Here is an 18,252-nt window from a genome sequence, read left to right as displayed (position 1 = left end):
CGTGAGCCACCGCACCTGGCCAGCTTTTGTATTTTTAGTAGAGACAGGGTTTCATCATGTTGGCCGGGCAGGTCTCAAACGCCTGACCTCAGGTGATCTGCCTGCCTCAGCCTCCCGAAGTACTGGGATTACAGGCATGAGCCACCGTGCCTGGCCCCTTGTTGGCCCTCTGATGGGGGACAGTTTAAGACACATTTCAGTTGAAAACAGCAATACCATCCCTAAGAATGAAATTTATCTGGAACTTAATTATTGAGGGTGTAGATGCTGAGTCCTTGTGGTTGGATTTCTCCTAACTCACTCTTTCTTTATTTTTAGCTGGGTAACAAATAACTGTGGTATATCTGGCCAAATACTGCTTTTCAGACCAAAGTCCCATAATGAGTCATTCTGTTACACACACACCTGAGAACAGTCCTAAGAATTGATGCAGCTGGGCCTGGCATGTTGGCTCACACCTGTAACTAGCACTTTGGGAGGCTGGGGTGGAAGGACTGCTTGAGCCCAGGAGTTTGAGGCCAGCCTGGGCAACATAGCGAGACCCCATCTCTACAAAAAATTTTAAAATTAGGGCCGGGCGCGGTGGCTCACACCTGTAATCCCAGCATGGCTCCAGGCTGCAGTGAGCCATGATGGCACCACTGCACTCCAGCCTGGACGACAGAGCAAGACCCTATCTCCAAAGGAAAAAAAAATGGTATAACTGGAGTGGAGATTTCTATAAGTCAGTATCATAGAAAGACATTGTGATTTGTACATGCTTATTTGCTTACTTGTGGTTTTAATTTTTCCTTTTATTTTTGGTTTATGTGTTTTTCCTGTTGGAATATGAAAGTGATAAGGAGGTAGAAAGCATCTCCTTTCCAGATATTCCTGGTCTGTAAGTTAATTATCTTGGTAACTGCTTCAGAACTAAACTAGTCAACCCTCAGGGAAAATAAAGCAGGTAGCTAAAAAATTGGCCACTGTGTGAACCTGCGTTCTAGCACCTTAGCAAACTAAGGCACATTTGCTTAGTTTCCCCAGAATGTATTTTTTTTGAAGTAGCAAGATCTTCCACTCACTCTCCCATGCCTGTCATTGCAGGCCATAGGCTTGGTTCCAGCCTTTTGTTGTCTCAGTGAACCAGGTAAGTTCTGAAAAAGTCTCTGAGGCTCGTAAATTTCCTCTGTGAAAACTATCAGCATTCAGAGAAGTATCTCTGGACTCTTAACTGGAAGGACCCTGTGCTGTGATTTTGTCTACTTGTTATTTAGAAGAGGAAACAAAGCCCTAGAGAGATAAATGATTCTCTTGAGGTCACACCACTAATTAATGGCTGAGCTGGGATTGAAATGCAAGTGGTCTGATAACTACCATCTAGTGTTCTGTTAGCTCACACTGCATGCTATGCTTTGAATTGGTTGCTTTTCTTCTTACAAGGAGACCTCAAATCCCAACTGCCTGTTTGCCAGCTCATGTCTCCTGTCTCCATTGTTAGGATTGTAGGTCTCATCTTGCCCCAACCTTCTTGTCCCCGCTCAGGTGGATCGCATGTCCTTTCCATGTGGCTGCTCCCGGGATGGCTGTGGGAACATGGCAGGACGCATTGAATTTAATCCAATCCGGGTCCGGACTCATTACCTCCACACCATTATGAAGCTGGAGCTGGAGAGCAAGCGGCAGGTGAGCCGCCCAGCAGCCCCAGATGAGGAGCCCTCCCCGACTGCCAGTTGCAGCCTGACAGGAGCACAGGGCTCTGAGACCCAGGACTTCCAGGAGTTCATTGCTGAGAATGAGACAGCAGTGATGCACCTGCAGAGTGCAGAGGAACTGGAGCGGCTCAAGGCAGAAGAAGATTCCAGCGGCTCTAGTGCCAGCCTGGACTCGAGCATCGAGAGCCTGGGTGTGTGCATCCTAGAGGAGCCTCTGGCTGTCCCCGAAGAGCTGTGCCCAGGCCTTACAGCCCCCATTCTCATCCAGGCTCAGCTGCCCCCAGGCTCCTCTGTCCTGTGTTTTACCGAGAACTCAGACCACCCAACTGCCTCAACGGTGAACAGCCCATCCTACTTGAACAGTGGGCCCCTGGTCTATTATCAAGTGGAGCAGAGGCCAGTCTTGGGAGTGAAAGGAGAGCCTGGTACGGAAGAAGGCTCAGCCTCTTTCCCAAAGGAGAAGGATCTGAATGTCTTCTCTCTCCCTGTTACCTCACTCGTGGCTTGTAGCTCCACAGACCCAGCTGCCCTCTGTAAATCAGAGGTGGGGAAAACACCCACCCTAGAAGCTCTATTGCCCGAAGATTGTAACCCTGAGGAGCCTGAAAATGAAGACTTCCACCCTTCCTGGTCCCCCTCAAGCCTCCCCTTCCGCACGGACAATGAAGAGGGCTGTGGGATGGTGAAGACCTCCCAGCAGAATGAGGATCGGCCCCCTGAAGATTCTTCCTTAGAACTCCCTCTGGCAGTGTGACAGGCGCTAGAGGTCCTGCCTCTTACCCATTCTCTATTTATTCCCTTATTTTATCTAACACCATTTCAAAACAAAACTGTAGAAGCAGCTGCTGCTCCCATGTTATTTTATTGGGGTCTTTGGGGAATGGGTGGGAAAGGATTGTTTGAGTATTTTTTAAAAGGGAAACAGTACCAAGGAGACCAGCCCTACCTTGATCTGGGGATAGTCTTGGGGCAAAGAAAGCTGCGTAGTGCTGAACATTAAGCTTTCTGGGCCACTGGAACAAAGAACTAGGATCTCACAGGAAAAGCTGGGTAACTCAAGCAGCTATTCTTTCTGTAGGGACCAGAACACGAGAATTTGAAGAGCATGGCAAAGCCCTTTCTCTCCCAAGCCCCAGGCAGAGTACAAGCTCATTTTTCTCGGTGGTTATTCTGATATCCCATTTTGGTGTGTCATAATACTTCAAACTGGAAAGTCACCTGGTCGAGTCTAGGGAGGAGGGAGTGGAAGGGTCTCTGCTTCTGTACAAAATCTCCAGGATTTACAAAAATGTAACCTGCCTTCCTTCAATCCCATATTTGGTAAATAAGTTAATATTTGACATGTTTGGTGTTCTCTGACCTGTTCCCCACACTGGGGATTCCTGGTCTGTAACTTGAATTGTTTCTTCCACATGTTCTTAAGTACTAGAGTTAAACTTGTCTATGTGTCTTTTTTCTCTCCATCCTTTTTCCTTCGGAGAAAGAGCTGGATTGGCTGGGGATATGGTATAACGAGCCTGAGCCTTCTGTACGTGTCTGACACTAGCACTGTCAGGCAGCTTTCGGCTGGGGCTCACCCATCCCATAGGAGGCCTATGTGGAGCATTAACTGTGGCCAAAGGAGGCAGCGGGAACAGGCTGCTTGCTATCTGGAAAGATGACATATTTGTGCCATGCTTGTTTTTTCACCCAGGTTTTTCCCTCTTTGTGAGATCTGAGCTTTAGTGGAATGTAGAATGTGGCAATCTTAAGGTCACCAATCAGTTTTTGTTCTTTTTTCCTGGATCTACCCTCATGGTCGTTTTCAACATAGCGGGTTAGAGTTCTTATACTGTTCCAGTTCAATTCCAAGAATTGCAAATGTTTATTGGACCCCTCCATCTTGATGATATATAAAAATTGGAAGCCAAACCAGTTCTTAAATGCTACATGCAACTCCCAGATTCCAAAGGATTCAAGTTCTAATTATAACCTTTGAAGCGTATAGAATGGAACTCATTCAGTTTGATTCAGTTCTTACCTCTGTCAGGAGGAATACAGTTCCTGTTCATCCTGTGTTCTAAGATCTCCATTGAACAGCACTGATTTCCTTTCATTAGCAAAGTGATCTTTGTCTCTGTTCTAAAATGGAGGCAGTAGGGAGCAAAACTATTCTTCTCAAGCATCCTTTACACCATACTTTACTTCTGGTATGGTTTATTAACCACACACACACACAAAAGTGAAAAACTGTGTTGGGGGGGAGACACTACTCCTACTTATCTTGCTCATAAAGCCTTTTCTGGTGGGATATTAAGGCCCTGGTGTCTTACAGAAACCATCACGTATGTCGCAGCAGCATTTCACCCCTGAAGTCTCTAAACTCTGAGCCTGAAAAGATTTGTATTTAATACACATAACATTTTTTAGTTCATTCTGCCTTTCCTATTTGTTCCAGTTTTTGCTTGGTTTTAGTTTGGAGGGGAACTTAAGTACACAGATCCTTATCTCTCCCCATCCCCTAGCCTCACAAAACACAGTTGAGAGTCTTTTAAGTACCTGAGCTCTCGAAGCTACCCAGAACTGAACTAGACTCCCCTACCTTAGACTGGTACCCTCAAACACAGGACTGAAGCTTAATTGGGAATTTGGCTTTATGGAGAAAAGAATCTTTTTCAAAGTTTGTGTCGGAAGGGGAGGGTGAGGTTTGCCCACTGTCTCTGCAGGAAGGCTCCGGCTTAATCTAGGAAGTAGATTCCAGCTGCACGATGAGGAACACATTAGCTTTTGGGATCAAACCAGGAATATGAATCTGTAATTATTAAGCTCATTGCCAACCCACAAGATATGTTTCTGAAAACCTGTAGTTTCTTAATTTAAGTCCATCCCCTTCATTAACGCTACAGTTGTGACTCACACTGATCCCAAACTTTTAAGTGCTAAATATTAACATTTAGCATTAACTGTCTTGTCAAGCGAAAGGCCTTCTCTACAACCTAGTCCATCTCACTTCTGGTGCTACCTGAGTTGGACAGAATTCTAGCTCATGGTTGCTAGGAAAGCTAGGCCTCTGATCATAGAAGCAGATAGCTTCAGTCCCAGTCTAGGCCTAGATAAATGACTCTTATTACCACAACCCTTATTATTTTCCAATTTCCTTTCTCACATACTGTACACAGGTAGTATTTTCAATGTGAATCCAAAGCTTGTCTGGTTCTCTGAAAATAATTTTTTCCCCTTTAGGTTCTTTACATTGTGATAATGCTGTATTTAAAGAGAATATTTAAATGTAATATTAAAGAAATATTCAAAAGAATGATGTGTTACTCTTTGTCTCGGCAGGCCACAGTTCAGTTACTTGTTAGAAAAAGGATGCTTCTCTAGCTTCGTTATAAAACTAATTAGGTCAGTTAGGAATTAATGTTAACAATAGAAACATTTTGTGATGGAAAAATAGAATATTCTCTTTGGAGTACCAAGAGCTGGACTTGGTTCATATGCCCTTGTGTACCTGTTCAGCTGAAGCAGGCCTTGCTCCTGCTCTGTTGGAGCTTAGCCCTGTCCCTACTCTGGGCTCCCATTTTCTCATTCCATTAACTTTTTTTTTTTTTTTTTTTTTGAGACAGAATCTCATTCTGTCGCCCAGACTGGAGTGCAGTGTCGTAATCTCGGCTCACTGCAAGCTCCGCCTCCCGGGTTCACGCCATTCTCCTGCCTCAGCCTCCTGAGTAGCTGGGACTACAGGCGCCCACCACCACGCCTGGCTAATTTTTTGCTATTTTAGTTGAGACGGGGTTTCACCGTGTTAGCCAGGATGGTCTTGATCTCCTGACCTTGTGATCCGCTCGCCTCAGCCTCCCAAAGTGCTGGGATTACAGGCGTGAGCCGCCGCGCCCGGCCTCATTCCATTAACTTTATGAAATTCTCTTTTCCTTGTTATCACCTTAAAGTGTCCAGCAAGGAGATCAACTTCAAATCAGTTTCTGCAAAACTTCCATCCCATCAGAAGGTTCTATGCCAACCAATTAAATCCCCATTTGTTAGATTATGTCAGTCTTGTAAAAGGAGACAGCAAAATGATTAGAGTATGCATAAGTCATTTCCATCAACAGGTTTCAAGCAGTCTTTACTTGGGTTTAAAAACAGTGCTTCATGCATTTACAATAAGTTATTACAGAACTCTAAGTCACTGATGCACACACAAAAGCTAAACCCAACTTACTAACTATGCAGACCTCTCCTGATCTCCCCAGGCTGGGCAGTAATTAGTACCTTACAGGTGTGATCCATGGCCCAGAGAAGGCAGCCACTGTCAGTTACAGTTGGACTGCTGCATCACAGTGGAGGCAGCAGAGTTGAAGATCCACAGAGGGCTGTAATACAGCCCAGAAAAGACAATGGAGAGTGAAGGCTAGAAACATTGAGGAAGGGGTCAAGAAGCACTTGTACTTCCTGTTATCTTTTCCAATAGAATATTCCTGCAAGTTACCCATCAGAAAAAGGTGTTCAGAGGGTTTGAAAAAGAAGTGGTTAGCCCATGCCAGTGAAGGTGACAAAAAACAAAACAACTTGATTTTTGGTCATATCAGAAAGGATGGAGGGAAACACCCAAGTACATGCACGGACACATGTGCTCCAGCCAAAGGAGTGCTGTTTTCACCAGCCACAAATTTTCTAACAGCAACAACAAAAACCCACAGATGTAAGTAACATGGAAGTGGATCAGTCCTAAGCCAAATAAGGATTCCCACCTGGGGCAAAAGCTGACTTCCTAGGACATGAACTGAACACATCACAGTAAAAGCCCAGTAGAGGCTGCTGCCAGTTCCAGCTATTAGTAATTATGAGGGGGACAGGATGACACCTCACACGGACCACCCCTAGCAAGAGGGTTTGTTTCAGTTCTAGCTGTGAGAGGAATGTCTGCAGTTCCCACATGTGTGCCATGCTGTGAAGCCCATGGCCCCTGCTCCTCTCTCTGCCTCCCACACACTTAACAGTACACACAGACTTTGCTGGCAAGTGCTGTTTGTTCCTGCACTGCTATACTATACGACTGCAGGACAATGCCATCCGCTCCATGGTTCATTCAGCGCCTTGTCCCAAGGTAGTTGGTGGAGAGCAGGACCACGTTGTGCAGCAAGAGAGACAGCTCAGCTTCTGAAAACACAGTGTTAGTGGTTTGGCTTGGGAACACTGCCTTATAACTGCCTTGTTATATATGGCTTAAGCCTGGAGGCAGGAAGCCAAGTGCAGGGAGGGGTGGAATGAAGAAGCTGTTTTTCTCAAAGTTCCCCTTCTTTGTTTCAGCCCCTGTATGCATGCCTTCCTTTCCTTCTACTATATATTCGTATCAACTCATCCTCTATTTCTCATGTGATTGCAGTAGAAAATTCAGAGATGGTAATGGTACTAAACACCAGTCGCGTTGGGATTCTTCTGGTAGAAGTTGGTGCTCTAGGGACATTTCTCAGCTTCAAGATTAGTAGGCCTACCCTAACATCCAAAGGCCCACAAAACATCAAGACCTAGCCTAAACAGGGGGCAAACAAGCCTAATACATACCCTCAGATGCTTTGTGTTTGGTCAGCAGACTGTTTTTTTTCTGAGTTTGAATGCCTTTAGACCAGTACTTCTCAACGGGGACAATCCTGCCTCTCTCCTCCCCACCCCTAGGACATTTGGCAATGTCTAGAGACATTTTTGGTTGAGACAACTGTGGGTGAAGGGGTGCTACTGGCATCTAGTGGGTAGAGGCTAGGGATACTGCTATAATAAATACCTATAAAGAACAGGATAGGCTGGACATGGTGGCTCACGCCAGTGATCCCAAAACTTTGGGAGGCCGAGGCCAGCGGATCACCTGAGGTCGGGAGTTCGAGATCAGCCTGACCAACATGGAGAAACCTGGTCTCTACTAAAAAAAAATACGAAATTAGCTGGGCGTGGTGGTGCATGCCTGTAATCCCAGCTACTTGGGAGGCTGAGACAGGAGAATCACTTGAACCCAGGAGGCAGAGGTTACGGTGAGCCGAGATCGCACCATTGCACTCCAGCCTGGGCAACAAGAGCGAAACCCCGTCTCAAAATAAATAAATAAATAAATAAATAAAGCACAGGATATTCCCCCCATAAGGAAGTGCCAAGGTTGGAAAATTCACACTAGCATGCATTCACTCTTAGGTTTCCACAGTCCCCACTACTCCCTCTTGTCTTATGGCCTACTTCGTTACCTGCCGGGCATGCAGTAGGCATGTGAGTTTGTGCCCTTTCAATTAGATGTATGTATATATATGTCTCACAGTACTCAATAATTAACTCCAAAATGACCTCAGAATAAAATACAAAAGTGACTTGGATTTTAGTGGTATAACCACAGAAATGTGTTTTACCTTTCAGGCTGCAGGAAATCTGCAGCCATTCTCCCAGCCAAGTTCGACACCTATCTTCACCAATATGCGTAGAATTCAGGCCACGGAGATAACAAGCCTATACCACTCAGAACAGAAATGGTCCTTAATAATCATAGAATGATTATGCCAAGGAAATGGAAATCCACAAACAATCCTAAATCTCCTTTAAATAAGTTACAATCTCACCGGGCACGGTGGCTCGTGCCTGTAATCCCAGCACTTTGGGAGGCCGAGGTAGGCGGATCACGAGGTCAGGAGTTGGAGACCAGCCTGGCCAATATGGTGAAACACCATCTCTACTAAAAAATACAAAAATTAGCCAGGCGTGGTGGCATGCACCTGCAGTCCCAGCTACTCGGGAGGCTGAGGCAGGAGAATCACTGGAACCTGGGAGGCGGAGGTTGCAGTGAGCCAAGATCATGCCACTGCACTCCAGCCTGGGCAACAGAGCGAGACTCTGTCTCAAAAAAAAAAAAAAAAGTTACAATCTCATTCCCACATGAAGCCTTTCCTCATGGCAATTTGAAAACTAGTGATGGACAAGATGACAAAAGCAAAGAGTCCTATATAAGCTAAAATAGTAGGTCTAAACTGCAGTATCCTTGCTTTCTGAAGTGCCAGAAGAAAAGAAATACAAACCAAAATTTCTGTGGGCAATTCCTTCCCCCTAGCTAAGTTTCTTGAGAAAAAAGACACAGAAATGAGGTGAGGAGCTGGGCGCAGTGGCTCATGCCTGTAATCCCAACACTTTGAAAGGCCAAGGCGGGAGGATCACTTGAGCCCAGGAGTTCAAGACCAGCCTGGGCAACATAGTGAGACCCTGTCTCTACAAAAATAAAAAATAATTTTATTTTATTTTTTGGGTTTTTTTTGAGACAGAGTCTCACTCTATCACCCAGGCTGGAGTGCAGTGGTGCGATCTTGGCTCACTGCAATCCACCTCCTGGGTTCAAGCAATTCTCATGTCTCAGCCTCCCAAGTACCTGGGATTACAGGCATGTGCCACCACTCCTGGCTAATTAAAAAATAATTTTTAAAAAGGCCGGGCACAGTGGTTCACGGCTGTATTCCCAGCACTTTAGGAGGCCAAGATGGGAGGATTGCTTGAGGCCAGGAGTTCAAGACCAGCTTGGTTAAAATAGTGAGACTGAAAAATAAATAAATATGCTGGGTGCGGTAGCTCACACCTGTAGTCTCGGCACTTTGGGTTGATGGATCTCTTGAGGCCAGGGGTTTGAGATCAGCCTGGCAAACATGGTGAAACCATCTCTACTAAAAATACAAAAAATTAGCTGGGCGTGGTGGTGCACACCTGTAATCCAGCTACTTGGGAGGCTGAGGTAGGAGGATCACTTGAACCGGGAGGCAGAGGTTGCAGTGAGCCAAGACTGTGCCACTGTACTCTAGCCTGGGCAACAGAATGAGACTCTGTCTCAAAATAAATAAATAAATAAAAATAAATCATAAATAAATAAATGAAGTGAGAGAATAAAGAAGCTGGGTTCTATAAACAAACAAGACAAGGAGCCCCTGTAAACCTCCGGCCTGCCATAGGCTCAAAAGCACACCAAGGGTTGAGGGTTGATGTTGCAATCAAGCTCTTACCGATTTTACTTCCTGAGCAGTCAGCTGGCCAATCCCCAGCTTTGCCAAAGCCTTGTCCAGTTGGTGAATCACAGTTGTATGAGTCTTCAAACGATGTCTCAACAAGGGAGGAGGCAGGTAAGATGTGAGAAGCATGGCCCGGCTCAAGGCTTTCTGTAACACAACCACATAGGAGGGGAAAGGCAAATAGTATGAGCTCAAGCAAACACCTGAAACATGGTGATGCTATGGAAAAGAGAAGCCCTCAAAGTGCTCACCACGTGCAAAGCCTGGAGTTGGTTCATGCCCAGAGGATGGTTAGAGAAACACTCTCTCAGAGCCAAGATATCATGTATTGCTGGGTGGGTACCACGCTGTATCTTGGAAGAGGTAAGAGATTTGTAGATGTTAGGAAAGTCCTGACTACTCCTCTTACCTAGTTTAGTGCACACTGAATCTAACAAGATTCCACATTTGTAGGAAGGGTTAACTGCAGGAATACCTTGGTGCACAGATCTGTCAGACGCCACCGGAGTCCTGCATCAGAAATGAGAGGGATGACCTTTTCTAAATAACTAATAATTTCTGGGTGGGACTGCTTCCGGAAAGCATGATAGATATCTAAGAAATCAGTTTGTTGTTTTGGGGTCCAGAAATGCCTGATCAGTAGTTGCCTGGGAAACAGGTACCTGAAAGGAGAAAGAATCACAAACTCACTTGCTGAAACTGGCTTCTTTCAGAGGAAGCCAAAGAAAGCATTTGGTAGACATGAATACTAGGAAGAAGAGATGGAGACACTATTTCCCTACCTCAGTGTTCTTTTTCTTTTTCAGTTTTTTTTTTTTTTTTTTTTTTTTTAAGAGACAGGGTCCCCTCTCTCACCCAGGCTGGAGTACAGTGGCAAGATCACAGCTCACTGCAGCCTCGACCTCCTAGGCTCAAGCAATCCTCCCACCACAGCCTACTGAGTAGCTGGGACTACAGGCACAGGCCACTATGCCTGGCTAAGTTTTTAATTTTTTTGCAGAGACGGGTCTTGCTATATTGCCCAGGGTGGTCTCAAACTCCTGGTCTCAAGCAATCTTCCTGCTTCAGTCTCCCCAAGTGCTGGGATTACTGGTGAGAGCCACTACAGTCAGCCCTTTCTCTTAAGTGACTCTCAGACCAAAGTTTATAAGACACACTGAAGCACAATTTCAAGCACCATTACTGAAATGGGATGTGAAAGGAAGGACTAGCAGAATAGCCTGCCACGCAGCAATCAGATATAATGACTCATTTTGAACTAAAGCATGTGAAGAGCATGCTTTGGAGAGAGTTGCAGCCTGACCAGGACACTATATGTGATGTTGACAATCTAACTATAGCACAGTCCTTATGTGGACCCAGTATGTAAAAGGCAACTGATTTGTTGTTTTTTTTTTGAGACAGAGTCTCGCTCTGTCACCCAAGCTGGACTGCAGTGGCGCGATCTCGGCTCACTGCAACCTCTGCCTCCTGGGTTCATGCGATTCTACTGCCTCAGCCTCCCAAGTAGCTGGGATTACAGGCACCCGCCACCACGCCTAGCTAGTATTTTGTATTTTTAGTAGAGACAGGGTTTCACTGTGTTAGCCAGGATGGTCTCAATCTCCTGACCTTGTGATCTGCCCGCCTCGGCCTCCCAAAGTGCTGGGATTACAGGCGTGAGCCACTGCACCTGGCCACGATTTGTTTTTTAATTTATTTATCTACGTGTTTGGTGGTTTTAAAACATGACCTCAAATTCTCTGGCACTTGTCTCATGGAGAGCTGAGGTCTACATCCTGCCCTTTTTTCATTCTAGGTGACTGATTCAATCAATAGGACAGAGCAGCAGTGACTCTATGTGACCTTCAAGACAAGGTTATAAAGTCATGTAGATTCTTACTAGAACCCCTCACTCTTGGAGCCCTGAGCTCCCAAGTTAGAAGTCCCACTATCTTGAGGCTGCCATACTGAAGAAGCCACATCTGGGCACTCTGGTTGACAGTTCTAGCCGTGTAGCCATCCCTGCCAGGGCACCAGACATAAGAGTGATATTGGACTTTCCAGACTAGTCCATTCAGCAGCTAAATATCACTAAGGGACCTCTGTCAACCCTATATGGAAGAGAGAAATCAACTGCCCACCTGAGCACTGCCCTAATTCTTGAGCTACAAAATCATGAAAATGATTTATACGATTGTTTTATGCTATTAAGCTTTGAAGTTATTTGTTATACAGCAATAGATAATGAATGACATGCAAGATCACAGTTAAGAAATGTCATTTTTGGATATGAAGTAATAAAAATGTTATCAGAATACGAAATGTACTTTTCCTAAAGAAATTAGTCTAAAAGTACTCTCTCTCGGGGAGAGAGCCTCTAGGGATGATGGAGAAGGTCACTATCTTATTTCACATGACTCAGGGCAGCTAAGAGATAGGGAGAGTCTAGGCCACCTACACTTATAGCTGTGATGTGTCACAGTAACCAAGGTCTTCCTAAGTGGTTTTTATGAACCTTGGAATAATGAGAAGATTGGAGCAGAAGTTTGATAACCTCTGCCTATCTTCTGAAATGAGTGCTGTTTAAAGTAATTCTTAATTTAAAAAAATTGATACATCTTCAAGATGTTGGGGAGATGGAAGTCTGTACTCACATTAGCAAGAAGACCAGGTAGTTGGCAAAAGGTGGAATGGAAATAATACCTAGGAAAAGACACTTGGTGACGTCTTGGCGGAACTAAGCAGAAATAAACACAGATGCAGTTTTAACCCAAATAAGTTGTTAATACAATAGACAATCCATCCACCCCACTGTACAGTAAACTTCTATTACAGCCCAGAAAAAGGACCAAATTTCTTTCTTTTTCTTTTTGAGATGGAGTCTTGCTCTGTCACCTAGGCTGGAGTGCAGTGGTGCAATCCTAGCTCACTGCAACCTCTGCCTCCTGGGTTCAAGTGATCCTCCTGCCTCAGCCACCCGAGTAGCTGGGATTATTGGCATAAGCCGCCACTCTAGGCTAACTTTTGTATTTTTAGTCGAGACAGGGTTTCACCATGTTGGACAAGCTGGTATCAATCTCCTGACCTCCAGTGATCTGCCCGCCTTGGCTTCCCAAAGTGCTAGGATTACAGGCATGAGCACTGCATGTGGTCCCCAAGTTTATTTCTATTTACTTCTGGATGGTTAGTTCCTTGAGGACAAAACCTCTGACTTATTTACTTTTGTATCCCAAATAATGTCTAGTACAGAGCCTGACATTATACCAAATCCTTCAGTGAACTCTTCCTGATCTGCGGAATGGGTCCTAGATTCTTACTCTCAGCTTCAAAACGACCCATCAAGTCACCACCAAATACTACTTTCATGCTGCCCTTTGGATCCTTGCAGACTTTTTTTTTTTTGAGACAGAGTTTTGCTCTTATCACCCAGGCTGGAGTGCAGTGGCGCGATCTTCACTCACTGCAACCTCCGCCTCCCAGGTTCAAGCAATTCTCCTGCCTCAGCCTCCCGAGTAGCTGGGACTAGGACTACAGGCGCCTGCCATCATGCCCAGCTAATTTTTGAATTTTTAGTAGAGATGGGGTTTCACCATGTTGGCCAGGCTGGTCTCAAGCTCCTGACCTCAGGTGATCCGCCCACCTCAGTCTCCCAAAATGCTGAGATTATAGGCGAGAGCCACTGTGCCTGGCTGCCCTTGCAGACTTCTATTTTCATTTTATTATTATTTTTTTTTGAGATGGAGTCTTGCCCTGTCACCCAGGCTGGAGTGCAATGGCATGATTTTGGCTCACTGCAACCTCTGCCTCCCGGGTTCAAACGATTCTCCTGCCTCAGCCTCCCGAGTAGCTGGGATTACAGGCGCCCGCCACCACACTCAGCTAATTTTTGTATTTTCAGTAGAGATGGGGTTTGACCTTGTGGGCCAGGCTGGTCTCGAATTCCTGACTTCGTGATCTGCCTGCCTCGGCTTCCCAAAGTGCTGGGATTACAGGCGTGAGCCACCGCGCCCAGCCCCCTTGCAGACTTTTGTTATGTTCAGAAACTAATTAGATTTTAGTATTTACAACTTTCATTCAGAAAGTGTGCCAGAAATTCTATGGAGCTCTTGCTATGGAGGGCTACAACTCTGGATGAACCCAATTCTTACAAATAATCTGATGCCTCATTCAGTTCAATATTTTGTTCTCACGGCAAAGGGCAAAAGCTTGATCAATGGTGAACAACAAATGAAAGAAAAAACCTTGAGATCTTGATTAAATGTAATTACCTCACCATGAACTTCTGGATATCTGCCCCTGGCCCATACCTGTCTCAAATGCTCCATCTCCCGGTATGGAAGTTGATGAAACTTTATATTGTGCTTCCACATATTTGTCTTTATTCTTCTAGCCTTTTTGGCATCAGCCCATAACATCTGCAATCCTGCCTCATTAAAGTAGAGGACAGAGTGTGATGTTATCCCAGTTTAAATCTTAACCACAGCTTCCTACTCCATGTTCAATCACATGCAAACACTCTCACCCCTCCCCAACGATACTCAAAGCTTTAAACTAGGTAACTTGAAACTCCTGAGGTCAACTCGAATCTCTTTTCTCAACATTTTTTCCCCTAGCACATCGCCTCTCTTCTAGCTACATTTGGCTTCTGTAATCTGCTATGGAATGGTCTCCCTCTTCTGTTTCACTGGTCACTCCTTTTTAAAAATCAAGCTCCCTAACTTCAGAAAGTCTTGCTAAATTAACCCTATGTATTCCCCAGCCAGATATTAATTTAATCTCCTTTCTGGAACTTTTTTTTTCTTTTTTTTGAGATGGAATCTCACTTTGTTGCCCAGGCTGGAGTGCAGTGGTGCGATTTCGGCTGACTGCAACCTCCACCTCCCAGGTTTATATAATTCTCCCACCTCAGAATCCCAAGTAGCTAGGATTACAGGCGTGTGCCACCATGCCTGGCTAATTTTTGCATTTTTAGTAGAGATGGGGTTTCACCATGTGGACAGGCTCGTCTTTAACTCCTGACCTCAAGCAATCCACCTGCCTCGGCCTCCCAAAGTGCTGGGATTACAGGCATGAGTCACTGCGCCCGGCCTGGAACACTTATTTTTGTTTTTGAGATGGAGTTTTGCTCTGTCGCCCAGGCTGGAGTGCAGTGGCGCAATCTCGGCTCACTGCAACGTCCACCTCCTGAGTTCAAGCAATTCTCCTGCCTCAGCCTTCCGAGTAGCTGGGATTATAGGTGCCCATCACCACACCTGGCTAATTTTTGTATTTTTAATAGAGACTGGGTTTCACCATGTTGGCCAGGCTGGTCTCAAACTCCTGACCTCATGATCCGCCCGCCTTGGCCTCCCAAAGTGCTAGGATTACAGGCGTGAGCCACCGTGCCCAGCCTGGAACACTTTTTAAAGTAGTTTAGTTCAATATATTTTTATGATTACATTTTAAATTTTCATTTTATGAAAATTCTTGCATCTAATTTTTTTCTTTTCTTTTTTTTTTTGAGATGGGAGTTTCACTGTTGTTGCCCAGGCTGGAGTGCAATGGTGCGATCTTGGCTCACCACAACCTCCGTCTCCCAGGTTCAAGAGATTCTCCTGCCTCAGCCTCCCTAGTAGCTGGGATTACAGGCATGTGCCACTATACCTGGCTGATTTTGTATTTTTAGTAGAGACGGTGCTTCTCTATGTTGGTCAGGCTGGTCTCAAACGCCCGACCTCAGATGATCCGCCCGCCCCGGCCTCCCAAAGTGCTGGGGTTACAGGCATGAGCCACCGCGCCCGGCTTCTTGCATCTATTTCTTTAATGCTTTCATATTTATCAATGATTTACATGTCATTATATGATGTCTCGATTGTCTTCAAAATAATACATAAGGCAAGTATATAAATAGGATTGGCAGCCATGAGTTATGATAATGAAGTGAGGTTAATACATGGAAGTTTGTTACACTACTCTCTCTACATCTGTGTGTGTTTAAAAATTTCCATAATAGTTGGCCGGGCGCGGTGGCTCAAGCCTGTAATCCCAGCACTTTGGGAAGCCGAGGCAGGCGGATCACGAGGTCAGGAGTTAGAGACCAGCCTGGCCAATATGGTGAAACCCCACCTCTACTAAAAATAAAAAAATTAGCCTGGTGTGGTGGCAGGCGCCTGTATTCCCAGCTACTTGGGAGGCTAAGGCAGGAGAATTGCTTGAATCCGGGAAGCAGAGGTTGCAGTGAACCGAGATCATGCCATTGCACTCCAGCCTGGGCGACACGGTGAGACTCAAAAAAAAAAAAAATTCATAATAAAAAGTTTAAAAACAAACACAAATGCTTTCATCCCTTTCTCTCATTTGATCCTATTTATCTACATGAAAACAGAAAAAGCAGCCAATTTTATCTCTACAAATTAAGGATAAGTAATTTTTCAAGTCCATGAAGCTAGTAATAATTATGATAATGTTCAGATTTGACAATGTAGTTTATTATAGTGTTATGATAAAAGCATAGAGCATATTATAGATTTGGTGCAAAAGCAATTGTGGTTTTTGCCACTGAAAGCCAAAAGCCGCAATTACTTTTGCACCAACTTATAATACTGTTAGGTAACATTTAGATGAAAATAAGTTAACATTTACTTGGCACTTACTAGGGATCAGGACCTGTTCTAGGTACTTTACATGTATCAATTTTTAAAGTCTTCACAATCATGTGATAAATAGGTAGGTTCCATTACTCCCATTTTACACATAAGAAAACCAAGGAAAGAGGGGTTAATTAATTAGTCCAATCGCACAGTGACGAACTGGGATTTGAATCAGGCAATCTGGCTCCAGAGTAGACACTTGACACGATACATATCTTCTCCTAGTAACTAAGGATCTCTGATTTGAAACAAAACATTTAGAAACCAAGTATTATGTAGGGCTATTGCCACTACAACATACTACCTAATATAGATTCATAACAAGGGTTAGACCTCATTTTCCTATGGGTAAGTCAACTGATACATCACAGGGCAGGTCTATACAGCCACAGATCCCTGCCGTGTGCAAGGCAAAAAATTTCTACTATAGCCAGGTGTGTGGTTAAGAAAGTACGAGAACATACCTATATTCTCCCTCCCTCATGTTGCTGTCATAAGTTGTTTCTCATAACATCTTTCTAGAAACATTCTCAAGAAGTGCTAATTTATAGGAATTAGTTTAAGGCGCAGGCATTTATGAAATATAAGATATCTCGGCTCACATCCCCATAGCAGAACCTGCAAATGATCTTATTTATGCTAACTCTTTGACCCTGCCCAAGAGCTGATTCCGGAATTTCTATTGTAGTTTCGTTTTTACCTTTCATGAAGATTGTGTACAGGACATAGAAGCGGGGGAAATGACGACCCAAGAAACGATGGTATTTCCCATTAATCGCTTTTGTCTTGGTTACCACATAAGACATCAAGTTCTTCACATCTGCCTTTGGAGAAAGGTGAAGCTTTGAAGACCTACAAGGAAGATCAAAGAGACTATCTGGGAATCAGTCCTAGAAGCTCCCTCACGCCTTGAGTCCCTAATGTAAAGCAGGAGTCTCGGAGATTGTATCCCAAGGCTTGACACTTCTGAAATCCAAGGAAGGTCTTGGGGTCAAGAAGAGATAGGCAATCAGACTGTGAAACACAAATCAGGCAAAGGCCAGGCAGGAAAGTAACTCAGGGTATGCCTCTGGAGAGAGCGCAATGCCTGTGGGACAATTTGAACTGCAGGCTAAGTCAGAAAGAGGTGGAATCGAGATAGCAGCGGTAAAACCTGAGCCGAAAAAGTGAGGCTGAAAGATGAGCTCAGGACACGCGGGGAAACCAGACAATATGGGGCACTGAGAGTACAGAGGGTCAGGAAGCCGGGTCACTAGTGGGGATCGGAGTTTGAATCCTGAACAGAAGAATAAAAATTCCAGGGCCAAGGCGTGGAACTCTGAGAATTAAGAGACAGAATGCAAGCAAGGTTGAGACACTGAAAGAGCCTGGACGTCAAAAATGCTTTTCTCGCTACAGGTCCCTCACCGAGGGGCCCCCCAAGCCAGGCCAGAGCGACCAAGTTGCAGCCTCCGGGTGACAAAATGTCCAGGGGTGACTGCCGAGCCCCACACAGCCGACCGAGCCCAGCACACCCTGGAGAGCGCCATCTTCACAGCGAGAGAAGCGGGAGAGAAGAGGTTGTCTTTGGGTCAAAGTTAACCGTACGTCGCGTTCGTTCGAAGACGCATGCGTCTTTTCTGAGCGCTGATTGGTAGCCATAGCCTGCTTGGCTCCAGCACAAGCCAGGAGAGGGAAGGACTCAAAGACTAAGTGCGGAAGGAGGGCCAGGATTGGACACAGCAGTACTTCCAGGTTTAAAGGCGCCGGAAACAGGGTGTCCCAGAGGGAGCGAGTTCTTATGCCACTGGTGTGGGTTTGCGACGCGGAGGGCACCCTGTCCTTGAGGCGCCCAGTGACCCTCCGCGATTCCTTAGGGCCTCAGGGCTTCCCAGCGCCGCCCTTGCCCTCTGCCTGGACTCGGGGCGTCGGAGCCTCGACTGTTAGGTAGCAGATGTCAGTTTG

General features: G+C 45.3%; 2 protein-coding genes across 66 annotated transcripts in view, besides 5 other annotated features; one reads left to right on the top strand and one right to left on the bottom strand.

Moving 5' to 3' along the window:
- The window catches only part of CSRNP2 (cysteine and serine rich nuclear protein 2), a 22,392-nt gene extending 17,403 nt beyond the window's left edge, over nt 1-4,989 (top strand). For all 14 annotated transcript variants that reach the window (NR_045072.2, NM_030809.3, XM_024449216.2 and 11 more), the window contains one exon: nt 1,525-4,989. Coding sequence is in view for 13 of the 14 variants with exons in the window: in NM_030809.3 (NP_110436.1) it covers nt 1,525-2,448 (924 nt within the window). In the remaining variant the exon portion in view is untranslated. The remainder of the gene's footprint in view (nt 1-1,524) is intronic.
- Nucleotides 1-17,974, bottom strand: part of LETMD1 (LETM1 domain containing 1) — a 20,739-nt gene extending 2,765 nt beyond the window's left edge. Inside the window, exons 1-9 of one of the 52 annotated variants that reach the window (NM_001351315.2) lie at nt 17,716-17,867; nt 17,009-17,181; nt 13,987-14,102; nt 12,334-12,416; nt 10,173-10,359; nt 9,949-10,050; nt 9,692-9,844; nt 8,066-8,162; nt 5,770-6,833 (exon numbers count right to left, since the gene is read on the bottom strand). In NM_001351315.2, the coding sequence (NP_001338244.1) occupies nt 6,763-6,833; nt 8,066-8,162; nt 9,692-9,844; nt 9,949-10,050; nt 10,173-10,359; nt 12,334-12,416; nt 13,987-14,102; nt 17,009-17,181; nt 17,716-17,837 (1,104 nt within the window). In that variant the 5' untranslated portion in view covers nt 17,838-17,867 and the 3' untranslated portion in view covers nt 5,770-6,762. 52 annotated transcript variants of the gene reach the window in all.
- Nucleotides 17,084-17,622: an enhancer, noted in NCBI's record as "H3K27ac hESC enhancer chr12:51442355-51442893 (GRCh37/hg19 assembly coordinates)". NCBI's record gives its function as "activates a minimal SCP1, AML or CMV promoter by ChIP-STARR-seq in naive H9 embryonic stem cells {active_cell/tissue: H9 hESC(naive)}" and the evidence as "EXISTENCE:reporter gene assay evidence [ECO:0000049][PMID:30033119]".
- Nucleotides 17,623-18,161: an enhancer, noted in NCBI's record as "H3K27ac hESC enhancer chr12:51441816-51442354 (GRCh37/hg19 assembly coordinates)". NCBI's record gives its function as "activates a minimal SCP1, AML or CMV promoter by ChIP-STARR-seq in primed H9 embryonic stem cells {active_cell/tissue: H9 hESC(primed)}" and the evidence as "EXISTENCE:reporter gene assay evidence [ECO:0000049][PMID:30033119]".
- Nucleotides 17,623-18,252: a biological region, named in NCBI's record as "H3K27ac hESC enhancer GRCh37_chr12:51441816-51442354".
- Nucleotides 17,823-17,872: an enhancer, noted in NCBI's record as "active region_6369". NCBI's record gives its function as "activates an Ori minimal core promoter by ATAC-STARR-seq in GM12878 lymphoblastoid cells {active_cell/tissue: GM12878}" and the evidence as "EXISTENCE:reporter gene assay evidence [ECO:0000049][PMID:35858748]".
- Nucleotides 17,983-18,252: an enhancer, noted in NCBI's record as "active region_6368". NCBI's record gives its function as "activates an Ori minimal core promoter by ATAC-STARR-seq in GM12878 lymphoblastoid cells {active_cell/tissue: GM12878}" and the evidence as "EXISTENCE:reporter gene assay evidence [ECO:0000049][PMID:35858748]".

The sequence above is a fragment of the Homo sapiens genome, chromosome 12, assembly GCF_000001405.40.
Source record: "Homo sapiens chromosome 12, GRCh38.p14 Primary Assembly".
NCBI lineage: Eukaryota > Metazoa > Chordata > Mammalia > Primates > Hominidae > Homo > Homo sapiens.
The sequence above is the reverse complement of the archived record's forward strand: the minus strand, read 5'-3'. Positions and strand labels throughout refer to the sequence as shown.